At 53.1% G+C, this 13,904-nt stretch overlaps 1 pseudogene, besides 1 other annotated feature; it reads right to left on the bottom strand.

Moving 5' to 3' along the window:
* Positions 1-13,904, bottom strand: part of LOC100420547 (GTF2I repeat domain containing 1 pseudogene) — a 34,118-nt pseudogene that overhangs the window by 18,912 nt on the left and 1,302 nt on the right.
* Positions 9,693-10,005: a silencer, noted in NCBI's record as "fragment chr7:65981742-65982054 (GRCh37/hg19 assembly coordinates)". NCBI's record gives its function as "represses an EF-1alpha promoter that drives an FKBP-Casp9 reporter gene in an ReSE screen in K562 erythroleukemia cells {active_cell/tissue: K562}" and the evidence as "EXISTENCE:reporter gene assay evidence [ECO:0000049][PMID:32094911]".

The following is a 13,904-nucleotide window of genomic DNA, read 5'->3' as shown; positions in this document are numbered from 1 at the left end:
TTTTTTTTTTTTTTTTTTTTGCTTTGTGGTTTTGAGACGGAGTTTCACTCTTGTTGCCCAGGCTGGAGTGCAACGGCATGATCTCGGCTCACTGCAACCTCCGACTTCCAGTTTCAAGCGATTCTCCTGCCTCAGCCTCCCGAGTAGCTGGGATTACAGGCATCCGCCATCATGCCCAGCTAATTTTTTTGTATTTTTAGTAGAGACGGGGTTTCACCATGTTGGGCAGGCCGGTCTCGAACTCCTGATCTCGTGATCTGCCCGCCTCGGCCTCCCAAAGTGCTGGGATTATAGGCATGAGCTACCACGTCCGGCCCTAGAGCCATTCTTAACAGGGTTTGTCTCCCTGGAAACTTCCCGAAGCCTCACCCTCCCAGGAATTCCCTGCTAAGTGCCACAGTCATCTCTTCACCACTCGGTTTCCACTCTCCCATCCTTGCACCGAGATCCCACTGTTAGGCCTTTTTCAAGCACGGACCTTCTCATGCTCAGTCTCTCTGTGGTGTGGAAGTGTCTACTGGGTGGGCCTCACAGAAGGTTCCAGGCCCTGGTACAAGCCCAAGGGAAATGATGATCCAAAATGGACTCCGATAAAGTTTCTGCCACTCTGCATTGGGGGCTTTTGGTAGGAGTCCAGTTCAATTTTATAAAAATAAAAATACATGTCTCGCACTTCTGAGTTTGCAGACTCAGGTCCATTCTGTATTTGCAAACGAGGACAAAAAGAAAGGTGGCTGGGTGCGGTGGCTCACGCCCACCTGTAATCCCAGCACTTTGGGAGGTCAAGATGGGTGGATCACTTGAGGCTGGCCAGGAGTTGGAGACCAGCCTGGCCAGGAGTTGGAGACCAGCCTGGCCAACCAGCCTGGCCTTTCACCATGTTAGGGTGCCTAAAAATACAAAAATTAGCTGGATGCTGTGGCACACGCCTATAATCCCAAATACTCAGGAGGCTGAGGCAGGAGAATCATTTAAACTTGGGAGGTGGAGGTTGCAGTGAGCTGAGATCATGCCATTGCACTCTAGCCTGGACAATAAGAGCTAAACTCCATCTCAAAAAAAAAAAAAAAAAAGGCAATTGGGGGAAAACAGTCCTTCCAGCTCACCTAGCACTGCCCATCTTTTTCCATATTCAGATCACATGGCGAGGCAGGTATGCTTGTCCATCTTGGCGGTAAGGAAGCGAAGGCTCAGATTCCCATGGCTAGTCAGGCAGGTACAGGGACTTGAACAAGATGGCACTTTCCCATGGCCCACATGCTGCCTAAGACCCTGAAGGCTGACTCCTGGACACTGTCCCCAGCCATCTGCCTCTCTGCAACTATCTGCCACCCCTCCACCTGCCCTGGGACAACTGCCTCCAGATGAAGGAGCCTGCTATTGCCTCTGCCTCCCCCAGCAGACCCCAGCTTCCACTCCGATTCGCCTCAGAACTGCTGGTGCTGGCCCAGGCCAGGCTTTGGGCACTGTGTGAGGGAGGGGTTTGAGAAAAGCCCATTCTGGTGCAGGAATAGCACTCAAAGACTTCTGGTGAACCCTCCGAGACTCCCAGGAGCCTGGACATGTTCCCAGCCCAGCATGACTAGTGGCATGAGTAAGTGTGGATACCTGGTGGATACCTGGCTTGGGTGCCAACGCCTGGAAAGGGGCTGGCAGGTCCATCCCTGAGGGCTGGGGCCACGGCCACCTGCTAGCCCTGGGACACAGAGTATTAATACATCACTCACACTGAGCCTCAGTTTCCCCCTCTGTAAGGTGAGCTCTAGCATCTACCTCCTAGGTGTGAAGACTAAATGAGATGCCTCCTCTGTCTGCACTCCGCTGTAACCCTAGTTCCTAGAATACCACCTTGCCCCAGCAGGATCTCCCGAAATATGTGTGAAAGGCACCTGCATAAAGCACCCAGTGCAGGGCCAGAAACCCAGTGACCTCTCAGCCGGGTGTCCACTGGAGGCACACTGACTGCATTGTGCTGCTGCAGTTTCCACTGTCTCCACCTTTCCAACATCATCTGACCACTCTGCCCCTCTGAGAGCTCTGGAAACACACTTATGGCATCCAGTGACCCCTCAACCCCTGCCGTTCCCCCGCCAAACACAACCCACCCTCCTCTCTGCCTCTCAAAGTCCCATCTTCCCCTGAGGCCCAAGCAGGGCCTTCCTTCAGGCAACCTTCTCCAACTACCCCTCACCCTCCTGATCCCCCTTTTGGGGGCTCCTGTGGCCTGTTGGCAGCTGCCACAACAGTGTACCCTAAGTACTTTTTTTTTTGAGACAGAGTCTCACCCTGTCGCCCAGGCTGGAGTGCAGTGGTGCTATCTCGGCTCACTGCAACCTCTGTCTCCCGGGTTCAAGTGATTCTCCTGACTCAGCCTGCCAAGTAGCTGGGATTACAGCTGCGTACCACCATGCCTGGCTAATTTTTGGATTTTAAGTAGACACGGGGTTTTACCATGTTGGTCAGGCTGGTCTTGAACTCCTGACCTCAAGTGATCCTCCTACCTTGGCCTCCCAAAGTGCTGGGATTACAGGTGTGAGCCACCATGCCTGGCCCACCCTGAAGGCTCTGGCCAGCCCTTAGTGCTCACCATGTGGCATGTCGCCCTGCAGGGACAGCCCCTGCAAATCTGGGTTTGGGAGGCCAGAACACAGCCCTTGGTGGACATGGAGGTGGATGGGTGGCTTAAAAAGGGTCAGGAGGCCGGGCAAGGTGGCTCATGCCTGTCATCCCAGCATTTTGGGAGGCCGAGGCAGGAGGATCACTTGATGCCAGGAGTTTGAGACCAGCCTAGCCAACATGGTGGAACCCCATCTCTACTAGAAATACAAAAATTAGCCAAGCATGGTGGCATGTGCTTATAATCCCAGCTACTCGGGAGGCTGAGGCAGGAGAATCGCTTGAACCTGGGAGGTGGAGGTTGCAGTGAGCGGAGATCGTGCCACTGCATTCCAGCCTGGGCAACAAAGTGAGACTTGGTCTCTCTCGCTCTGTCTATATATATATAATGTAAAAAAAAGGGTCAGGAGAGGCACTGCGCTGTTTAAGGCGGGGTAGACACCCCCCACATCTTACCACCACGCTTGTGGTTCCCATGCAGACACCCCTCCTTCTGTGGTTAGGAACCCACTCGCCTCCAACCTCATCTATTCACTGAGGTCAACCACACCCCCTTTATCAGGAGGAGGGGGTGCACTGACCCGGCCTGGCCCCTCCCTCCTGAACCCAGACTGGGTAAAACTTAGAAGTCACTGGCACCACCACTCCTTTCTCTGCCCCAGGATGTGGGGCCACATTCAAGCTTAGCCTTCCTCCATCTATCTGGGGCAGGTGCCCAGGTGAGGTGGCTAAACAGAAGGGCAGGAGCCCAGGCTGGGCATGGTGGCTCACGCCTGTAATCCCAACACTTTGGGAGGCCGAGGTGGGTGGATCACTTGAGGTCAGGAGTTTGAGACCAGCCTGGCCAACATGGTGAAACCCTGTCTCTACTAAAAATACAAAAAATAGCCAGGCATGGTGGCAGTTGCGTGTAATCTCCCTGTCATCAGGAGGCTGAGGCAGGAGAATCACTTGAACCCAGGAGGTGGAGGTCGCAGTGAACTGAGATCACACCACTGCACTCCAGCCTGGGTGACAGAAAAGGACTCTGCCTCATAAAAAAAAAAAGAAAGAAAGAAAGGCAGGGGCCTGGCTTCTGTTCCCAGACCCCAGAACTTGTGCCCCACAGCAGGCTTAGCTCCAGCCCCCAGCACCATGACCTGGCCCTATTCCCAGTGACCCCTCCACAGCCAGTGCCTCTTACCAGGCTTTCGGATGAGTCCTTGGAAAGGCCTAGAAGAGAAACAGAGGCAGGGGTGTCAGGGGGAAGGGCCTGGGGATGAGGAAGACACCCCTGGGATGCAGTGGCCTCAGTCTCCCCTGGGAGCACCCCAGATCTACGGCAGCAGAATCTGCATTTTAATAAGCTGCCCTGGGGCTCTGTGTGCGTGGGACACTGACACCATGTGGCAGGGTGCTGGCATTGGCAGTGCCACTCTGCAGGATGCAGACCTGGGCCTTGGGTAGGCTCTGCCCTGGCTGGCCCCAAGACCTTGGGCAAATCCCTCTGATGGGGGCTAAAGGCATTTCCTGGGGGCTGGGGGTACAGTGAGCAGGTGTTGCTGAACAGGTTGAAGATGCCCTCGAAGGCTGCCCTTGCCATGGTGGGGTGACCAGTCCCACTTCTGAAGGACACCTTGCACTCAGGCTGGCCTGCAGTCCCTTTCTGGCCACCCCCAGGACCCAGGATGGTGCCAGGAGAGCCACCTTGTCCAGTGGGGAGGGCACGACCTAGGGAAAGGCTAAGGATTCGCAGGTGTAAGCCCCCATCTGAGCTAGTCCTGCCTCTTCACCCTCACCCTTCCCCCTGAGTACCTGGTGACTGTGAACGTGATCTTGTTGGCCATGGCAAGAATCCTCTCCAGGTTCTGGGAGCCGAAGGGCTTTCGGAACAGGATTCCTGGTGGCAGCTCCTCGATGATCATGGAGCCGGGGTTACTCTTGATCCACTTGTAGGGGACCTGAACCGGGTACTTGATGCCCAAGGCTTCCCCTGTGGGTGAGAGGCAGGGTCCTGCCCGTCAGGAGTGAGAGGCAGCGTGGGGTGTGTGTACATGGGATTGCGGGGGTGTGATGGAAAGACATGCGTGCAGGAGAGTGAATGGTACGAGAAAGCTCTTATGTAGCATTGTGGAAAGGTATAGGCATTACAATCTAAGCTATTTGATCAGAACATTAAAAAAAGGCCAGCATGGTGGCTCATGCCCGTAATCCCAGCATGTTGGGAGGCCAAGGCAGGAGGATCACTTAAGTCTAAGATTTCGAGATCAGCCTGGGCAACATAGCAAGATCCTGTCTCTACTACAGATTTCTAAAAAACAGCTGGACATGGTGATGCATGCCTGTAGTTCCAGCCACTTAGGAGGCTGAGGCAGGAGGATTGCTTGAGCCCAGGAGTTTGAGGCTGTAGTGAACCATGATCACGCCACTGTACTCCAGCATGTGTGACAGAGTGAGACCCTGTCTCAAAAAAAAAGAAAAGAAAGAAAAAGCCACACCAATATGCTCCCATGTCGTATGCTCCTTTTTTTTTTTTTTTTTTTTTTTTTGAGACAGATTTTCGCTTTTGTTGCCCAGGCTGGAGTGGAATGGCACGATCTCAGCTCACTGCAACCTCTGCCTGCCAGGCTCAAGCGATTCTCCTGCCTTAGCCTCCTGTGTAGCTGGGACCACAGGTGTGCACCACTGCACCTGGCTAATTTCTTTTTTGTATTTTCGGTAGAGATGGGGTTTCACCATGTTGCCCAGGCTGGCCTTGAACTCCTGAGCTCAAGCCTCCAAAAGTGCTGGGATTACAGGCATGAGCCACCGAGCCGGGCCCCTGTCTATTAAATTCTGTGTGTAGTTGTTGAAAGTGTGTCTCACCTCATTGGTCTGCAAGGCTCATGAGTACAGGGACTGTGTCTGTTTTATTCACAGCAATATCCCCAGTGCCTGAGACAGTGCCTGGCACATAGTAAATGCTCAAGAAATACATGTAAAGGGGTGAATCGTTTCCCCAGAAATCCCCTCGGCTGGAACTGGGAAACCTGCCACTTCTCTGTCCACAGCAGCTACATGTCCCTCCCCAGGGGTTCTGCGCTGCTTACCATATGTCTTATTGAAAAGCTCCTGGACCTGCTCCCTTAGCGTGTTGGCAATGTCAATCCGTAAGAGCCTCGCGTCGTAATTTTCTGCAAAGCGCAAAATGATTATGGGTTTGGGCTGTTCAGTGAAAAGGCACTTGGTGACTTTTAAGGAAGATGATTTTCTAATTATGGGGAACTCCTTCTCTGGCAATTAACGGATCTTTGGAGTGGGCCGCTCAGGTTCTTCAGCACCAACGTCTTGATGGAGATGTGTTTTTTCCAGAAGGACATGCACTGTTGCCACAACAGTGATGAGTTGGAAATTCAGTTAATTGTTGACATTTGAAAACCACCAAATCAATAAATAAGCCCGGAGAGGAGGGACACCATAGAGTGCAGAGTCCTGTGCCCTGGGCTGGCAGGCAGGGGGTATGGGCTTCATGAAGTCACTGGGGGGCTGGAGACAAAGGAGGGAACGGAAGCCCAGCTGATCCAGCAGATGGTGGAGGACGGGCAGTCCCCACAGACACAGGGGACACGCCTGGCAGCTCCCAATGCAACCTCCACCTCCCAGGCTCAAGCAATTCTCCTGCCTCAGCCTCCTGAGTAGCTGGGACCACAGCTGTGTGCCACCATGCCTGGCTAATTTCTTCTTTGTGTTTTTGGTAGAGATAGGGCTTCGCCATGTTGCCCAGGCTGGCTGTGAACCCTTGAGCTCAAATGATCCACCTGCCTCAGCTGGGATTACAAGTATGAGCCACCCAGCCACCCTCACCCAGAGAGTGTTCATTAAAAACCCCCAAGTGTGGCCAGGCGCGGCAGCTCATACCTGTAATGCCAGCACTTTGGGAGGCCGAGGCGGGAGGATCACCTGAAGGAAGGAGTTGGAGACCAGTCTGGCCAACATGGTGAAACCCCATCTCTACAACCCCGTGTCTACCAAAAAACTACAAAAATTAGTTGGGCATGGTGGTGTGTACCTGTAATCCCAGCTACTTGGGAGGCTGAGGCAAGAGAATCCCTTGAACCTGGGAGGTGGAGGTTGTAGTGAGCCGAGATCACACCACTGCATTCCAGCGTGGATGACAGAGCAAGACTCTGTCTCAGAAAAAACAACAACAACAACAACAACAACAAACAAAAAGCTGGGTGCAGTGGCTCATGCCTGTAATCCCAACACTTTGGGAGGCTGAGGCTGGCAGATCATCTGAGGTCGAGAGTTCGAGACCAGCCTGTCCAACATGGTGAAATCCCGTCTATACTAAAAAAAATACAAAAATTAGCCGGGTGTGGTGGCGTGCACCTGTAATCCCAGCTACTCAGGAGGCTGAGGCAGGAGAATCGCTTGAACCCAGGAGGCAGAGGTTGCAGTGGGCTGAGATTGCGCCATTGCATTCCAGCCTGGGCAACAAGAGTAAAACTCCATCTCAACAAACAAACAAACAAGACAAGTGCCCGCATGTGCCGGAGGGATCCTACACCACCATTTCTCTCTCCCCCCACTCTTTTTTTTTGAGACAGGGTGACAGGGTCTTGCTCTGTTGCCCATGCTGGAGTGCAGTGACACGATCCTGGCTCACTGCAAACTCCGCCTCCCAGGTTCAAGTGATTCTCCCACCTCAGCCTCCCAAGTAGCTGGGATCACAGGTGCATGCCACCTCGCCTGACTAATTCTTGTATTTTTTTGGTAGACACGGGGTTTCGCCATGTTGGCCAGGCTGGTCTTGAACTCCTGGCCTCAAGTGATCCACCCATCTCGGCCTCCCAAAGAGCTAGGATTACAGGTGTGAGCCACTGCACTCAGCCTCTGATTTCTTTTCTTAAAAATAGACCTAGAGATGGGTTCTATGTTGCCCAGGCTGGTCTCGAACTTCTGGCCTTGAGCAAGCCGCCTGCCTTGACCTCCCCAAGTGCTGGGATTACAGGCGTGAGGTGCCACGCCTGGCTCTTATTCTGATTTCAAAGCACTAAGACCACAGCTGATTGCTGAATAAGGAGTGGGCATGTCAGCTACCTTCCTGGAGGGGGGCAGGCAGGCTCCTGCGCCCTGTAGCCTCCCAACCCCCAATTTCCCCCACCGTCCACCTGTAGGCACCCCCTCTCCCCTGGAGTCTCTAACACAGAGCTTACAGGGTACAGCCGGGCCTGGGCTGCCAACCTGGCTTGCCTGGTCCCTTAGGCCCTGAAGTTGGGGGCCAGCTCCTCCCCACTTCCAGCCTGGCCCTCCAAACCCAAACCAGGTCAAGGTCCTGGTGCTGGGACAACAGACCTCCCCCTGAGCTCAACCTTACCTTGAAAGCCCTGTCTCTTCAGGCTCTCGCCCACCAGAGGGTCCCTGGAATCCCTCTCTGGGGGCAGGGCAGGGGGAGAGAAGCCAAGTGATGAGGCAGTTCCTGGGACCCAAGATGGCATCATTAGGGGAAACCTAATGCGGGGGTGTGGGCAGAATGCCAGGGTCAGGGTGGGAGCAGGACAGAGGCAGCAGGAGGAGGGGCTGGTGGCAGAGGCCTGGGGCCCTCCCTTGCCCGCCCGCACCATGGCCCGCGACCCCGTGCTGGGTACCTTGACTATCCACGATGGGCTCTTTGACTCCCTCAGTGAGCAGCTTGGGCCTGGACAACACAAGCGGGGCTATCACAGAGGTCCCTCCAAGCATCTCTGAGACTGCCCAGCCCTCCCCTCTGGGCCTCAGTCTGCACATCCCTGCAATGGACCCTCCTGGCTCCGCACAGTTAGGCCTGGAGTCCCTGCTGCCCCACGTGTGGAAACTGGGGGGCTGCCCTGGGCTTGAAGGATCCAGCCAGGAGTGAGACCTGCCCAGTCCTGAACAGGTCCGTCTGATTATCTCACTCCTGCTCCAGGGACATTGCACGATTGTCACTGCCTGGGATTGGAGCAGGCGGCCTCAGGGGGCCTCCCGTGGAGCTGGTTTAAAGTGTAGAAACAAGGTCTGGTGCAGTAGCTCACGCCTGTAATCCCAGCACTTTGGGAGGCCGAGGAGGGCGGATCACTTGAGGTCAGGAGTCTGAGACCAGCCTGACCAACATGGTGAAACCCATCTCTACTAAAAATACAAAAGTTAGCTGGATGTGGTGGCAGGCTCCTATAATCCCACCTACTCGGGAGGCTGAGGGAGGGGAATCGCTTGAACCCAGGAGGCAGAGGTTGCAGTGAGCTGAGATAGCGCCACTGCACTCCACCCTGGGTGACAGAATAAGACTCTGTCTCAAAATGAAAGAAAAGAGAAGAAAAGGAGTAGAAACAGTTGGGGCCCACTACATAGCAAGAACTCCAAGCTTCTGGAAAGGTCTGAGATCTACGGCTCACATCTGAGAGCTGCTGTGTCACTGCAGTCGGAAGCGCCAGTGACCAAGCCCAGCTTTGTATTATACTAATGTCTTTAGCTCCACAGACTCCAGAAAGCCCTGTCCAGACATGAGTCAACGTTCTTTATCATACCGCACTGCTTCTAAAGTCTCCATCTTCAGCACAACTTGTCCTGTTAGAGCAAGCCTGTTGGGGGGCTGGGGTTTGTGGTGGGCAGAGGACACTGGGAAAATCATGCTGGCCAGAAGGGGGCTGTCAGGGGATGGCAGGGTGAGCCATGGAGTGGAGAAGGTAATTAGCTCTCTGGAGAGGTAATGGGCCTGGAGAGGTAATGAGCTCTCTGTCACAGGGGTAATCAAGCAGCAGCACTGAGGAGTCTCTGCCCGGGAGTGAGCCCAAAGGCCAAACTCTCAGGGAGGGTACTCCCTGGGTCCCCAGTAGATGAGGATTTGGTGCCCACTCTGGCAGTGGGCATCTCTTAGGCTTTTGTACAGAGCCAGGCACAGAGCTGGGGTCACGGGGCCAGGGCTGGGAGGGGGAAGTATAGCCCTGCCTTGAACCACAATCTCAGGAGCTAGAAAAGGCTTCCGATTGACCGGGCGCAGTGGCTCATGCCTGTAATCTCAGCACTTTGGGAGGCCGAGGTGAGCGGATCACGAGGTCAGGAGATTGAGACCATCCTGGCTAACACGGTGAAACCCCGTCTCTACTAAAAAATACAAAAAATTAGCCAGGTGTGGTGGCAGGCGCCTGTAGTCCCAGCTACTGGGGAGGCTGAGGCAGGAGAATGGCATGAACTTGGGAGGCGGAGCTTGCAGTGAGCTGAGATCTTGCCACTGCACTCCAGCCTGGGCGTCAGAGCGAGACTCTGTCTCAAAAAAAAAAATAATAATAATAATAATCAAATAGAGATGGGGTTGCTATGTTGACCAGGCTGGTCTCGAACTCCTGGCCTCAAGCGACCCTCCTGTTTTGTCCTCCCAAAGTGTTGGGATTACAGGTGTGAGAATTTTTAAAATTTTTTGTAGAGATGGGGTCTCGATACAGTGCCCAGGCTCGTCTCAAACTCCTGGGCTCAAGCGATCCTCCTGTCTGGGCTTCCCAAGGTGTTGGGATTACAGGCATGAGCCATCATGCCCGGCCAGAATGTATTTACATTTTTTTTTTTTTTTTTTGAGACAGGGTCTTACCCTGTCACCCAGATTGGAGTACAGTGGTGCGATCATGGCTCACTGCAGCCTCGACCTCCTGAACTCAAGTGATCCTCTCACCTCAGCCTCCTGAGTAGCTGGGACTATAGGTGCTCACCACCAAGCCTGGCTATTTTTTTTTTCCCCCCAGAGATGGGGTTTCACCACATTGCTCAGGCTGGGAATTTGTTGAATGAAGCGTTCCTTCAATCAGTACAGTACTATACATGTATACAGTAGAGCCAATTACTATACTATAATTATACATAATCTCTTGTGAATCTTTATTTCTGTATGTTTTCACACATCTGATGGGCCATATGTCTATCACGAGTTTATCCTTAAACCACCTGAAATGTGATCTTCCCTTTTAATTTTATTTATTTTTTTGAGATGAGAGTGTTACTCTGTCCCCCAGGCTGAAATGCAGGGGTGTGATCTCGGCTCACTGCAACCTCTGCCTCTCGGATTCAAGCGATTCTCCTGTCTTCGCCTCTTGAGTAGCTGGGATTACAGGTGCATGCCACCATGCCTGGCTCATTTTTTTTTTTTTTTTTTTTTTTGAGATGGTGCTTTGCTCTTGTTGCCCAGGCTGGAGTGCAATGGCATGATCTCGGCAACTTGTGCCTCCTGGGTTCAAGCAATTCTCCTGCCTCAGCCTCCCGTGTAGCTGGGATTACAGCCACCCACCACCATGCCTGGCTAATTTTGTATTTTTTAGTAGAGACAGGGTTTCTCCATATTGGTCAGGCTGGTCTTGAACTCCCGACCTCAGGTGATCTGCCCGCCTCAGCCTTTCAAAGGGCTGGGATTACATATATGAGCCACCGTGCCCTGCCTTAATTTTTGTATTTTCAGTAGTCCTGATCTCAAGTGATCTGTCCACCTCAGCCTACCAAAGTGCTGGGATTACAGGCATGAGCCACCATGCCGGCTCAGTCTTCCTTTTAATATGCCCAGACACACCGGGCATGTGGCTGCATTTCATCCTGGCCTGCTGAAGCCTTTGATTCTACTGCAGGATCACAACTCTTGCTCTCCAGCCCTGTTGTGTAGCTTTTTGCTATCTGCAGCAGACTCCCTCCTGGCATAGAGCAGGCCCTGCAGAAGAGCTCCCTGTCCCAGCGGATCTCCTCACCACTGTATGCAAAAATGACGCTGTGAGTCTCCCAGTTTGAGAACCATCTATTCCCCTGGAGGAACAAACCCTTAAGAGTTTCTTCTTTCTTGCTGCTTTCAACCAAACCAAGCCTATTTTTTTTTTTTTTTTTTTTGAGACAGAGTCTCCCTCTGTCGCCCAGGCTAGAGTGTAGTGGAGCGATCTCAGCTCAATGCAACCTCCGCCTCCCGGGTTCAAGTAATTCTCGTGCCTCAGTCTCCTGATGACGGGGAGATTACAGCTGGGATTACAGGCATGAGCCACCACGCCTGGCTAATTTGTGTATTTTTAGTAGAGATGGGATTTCGCCATGTTGGCCAGGCTGGTCTCGAACTCCTGACCTCAAGTGATCTGCCCGCCTTGGCCTCCCAAAGTGCTGGGATTACAGGCGTGAGCCATCGTGCCCAACCATAAACCAAGCCTAAATGTATGCTATTACAGTAACACAGAAGTAACAAACACAAAATGGAAATATCATCTTCCCATTCCCTGTTTTGTTTTTTATTTTTTTGAGGAGGGGTCTTGCTCTGTTACCCAGGCTGGAGTGCAGTGGTGCAATCATAGCTCACTCTAGCCTCCAAACCCCTCCTGGGCTTAAGTGATCCTCCCACCTCAGCCTCCTGAGTAGCTGAGATTACAGGTGTGCACCACCATGCCCAGCTAATTTAAATTTGTTTTGTAGAGATGGGGTCTCATTATGTTGCCCATGCTAGTCTTGAACTCCTGGCCTCAAGTGATCCTTCTGTTTCAGCCCCCTGAGTAGCTGAGACTACAGGCATGTGCTGCCACACCAGAGCTTAAAAAAAAAATTTGTAGTGACACAGTCTTGCTATGTTGCCGAGGCTGGTCTTGAACTCCTGGGCTCAAGCAATCCTCCCACCTCAGCTTCCCAAAGTGCTGGGATTATAGGCATAAACCACTGTTCCTGAAATCACCCAACCACATTTGTACTCAATAACTGCCACTGCCTTCTCCAAAGGGACTTTTTATCCCAGCTGGGCACACAGAGTGTATCCATGCGTGCTGCCCCGGGACCTCACTGGCAAAAACGCAACATGTTCAAAGAAACAGAAAGATCCTGGAGAAGCCGCTGCTGGACTTTCCCATCCTGGGATGATGGGGCATTGCCCCCAGTCCCTGGCCCAGGACACCAACACGCCAGCCTGGAGAACCCGTGAGCTGATGGCACGTTCCCATTCTGCATCTGGGCCAACTGAACACTGCTCTCCTGAGACTGCAAGAGGGGTCAGCTCGGTGGCTTTGGGTCTGGCAGCCCTGGGGAGCCTCATGTCTGCCAACTGCAGCCAAACCCCATTTAACACCTTGCTGTCAAAGAAAAAAAAAAGGAGAAAAGAAAGGAGGTCTGGTGCGGTGGCTCATGCCTGCAATCTCAGCACTTTGGGAGGCTGAGGTGGCCAGATCACTTGAGGTCAGTAGTTCAAGACCAGCCTGGCCAACATGGTGAAAACCCATCTCTGCTAAAAATACAAAAATTAGCCGGGCGTGGTGGCGGGCACCTGTAGTCTCAGCTACTCGAGAGGCTGAGTCAGGAGAATCGCTTGAACCCAGGAGGCTGTGGTTGCAGTGAGCCATGATTGCACCACTGCACTCCAGCCTGGGAGACAGAGTGAGACTCTGTCTACAGGAAAAAAAAAAAAAAGAAAGAAATAGTGGCCAGGCGCGGTGGCTCACACCTGTAATCACTTTGGGAGGCCCAGGCAGGAGATGGCTTGAGTCCAGGAGTTTGAGAACAGTCTGGACAATATGGCCAGACCCTATCTCTAAAAAAATAAAATCAATCGATTCAATCAATCAATCAAAAAATTAGCTGGGCATGGTGGCACACACCCGTGGTCCCAGCTATTCGGGTGGCTGAGGCACAATAATCACTTGATGGCAATTTGGTGCTGCTCCTGCCCCTGGGTGCTGAGCAGGCCTGGTGCTGTCTCCCGTGGACCTGGTCAGGCCTTACCTCTTGATGACAAACTGGATGCTGTTGCTGGCCTCCAGAATCTTCCAGAGCTTGGCGATCCCGAAGCAGTTGGGTCTGCGGAGGGAGATGCCTTCGGGCAGCCCCACCACAAACAGCTCCTCCGGGTGCATCAGAAACTTGGAGTACAGCACCTTGATGGGTTCCGAGATGCCAATGGCCTTGGCTGCAGAGACATGGCTGCTGTAAGTCCAGCCGGTGCCACAGGGCCAGGAATCTCAACCCCTGTGTCCCATGCCTGTGTAGAGGGCAAAGCTGCCTGTCCTTTTGAGGGCCTTCCTGGGAGGTGAGCCAGGCGTGAGCCACCTTGCCCTGCCTATATTACTTATTTGCTTACTGCTTATCTCTCCACACGAGGATGTGTACCCCAGGAGGTGGGGACATCTGTTTGGTCCACTGCTTTTTCCCCAGCCCCTTGCACAGGACCTAGTACACAGTAGGTGCTCAATAAATATTTGTTGAGGCAGGGTGCATTGGCTCACGCCTGTAATCCCAGCTCTTTGGGAGGCCAAGGTAGGAGGATCATTTGAGGTCAGGAGTTTGAGACCTGCGTGGCCATCATGGTGAAACCCCGT

The sequence above is a fragment of the Homo sapiens genome, chromosome 7, assembly GCF_000001405.40.
Source record: "Homo sapiens chromosome 7, GRCh38.p14 Primary Assembly".
Classification (NCBI taxonomy): Eukaryota; Metazoa; Chordata; class Mammalia; order Primates; family Hominidae; genus Homo; species Homo sapiens.
This window is presented reverse-complemented; position numbering and strand designations above follow the sequence as displayed.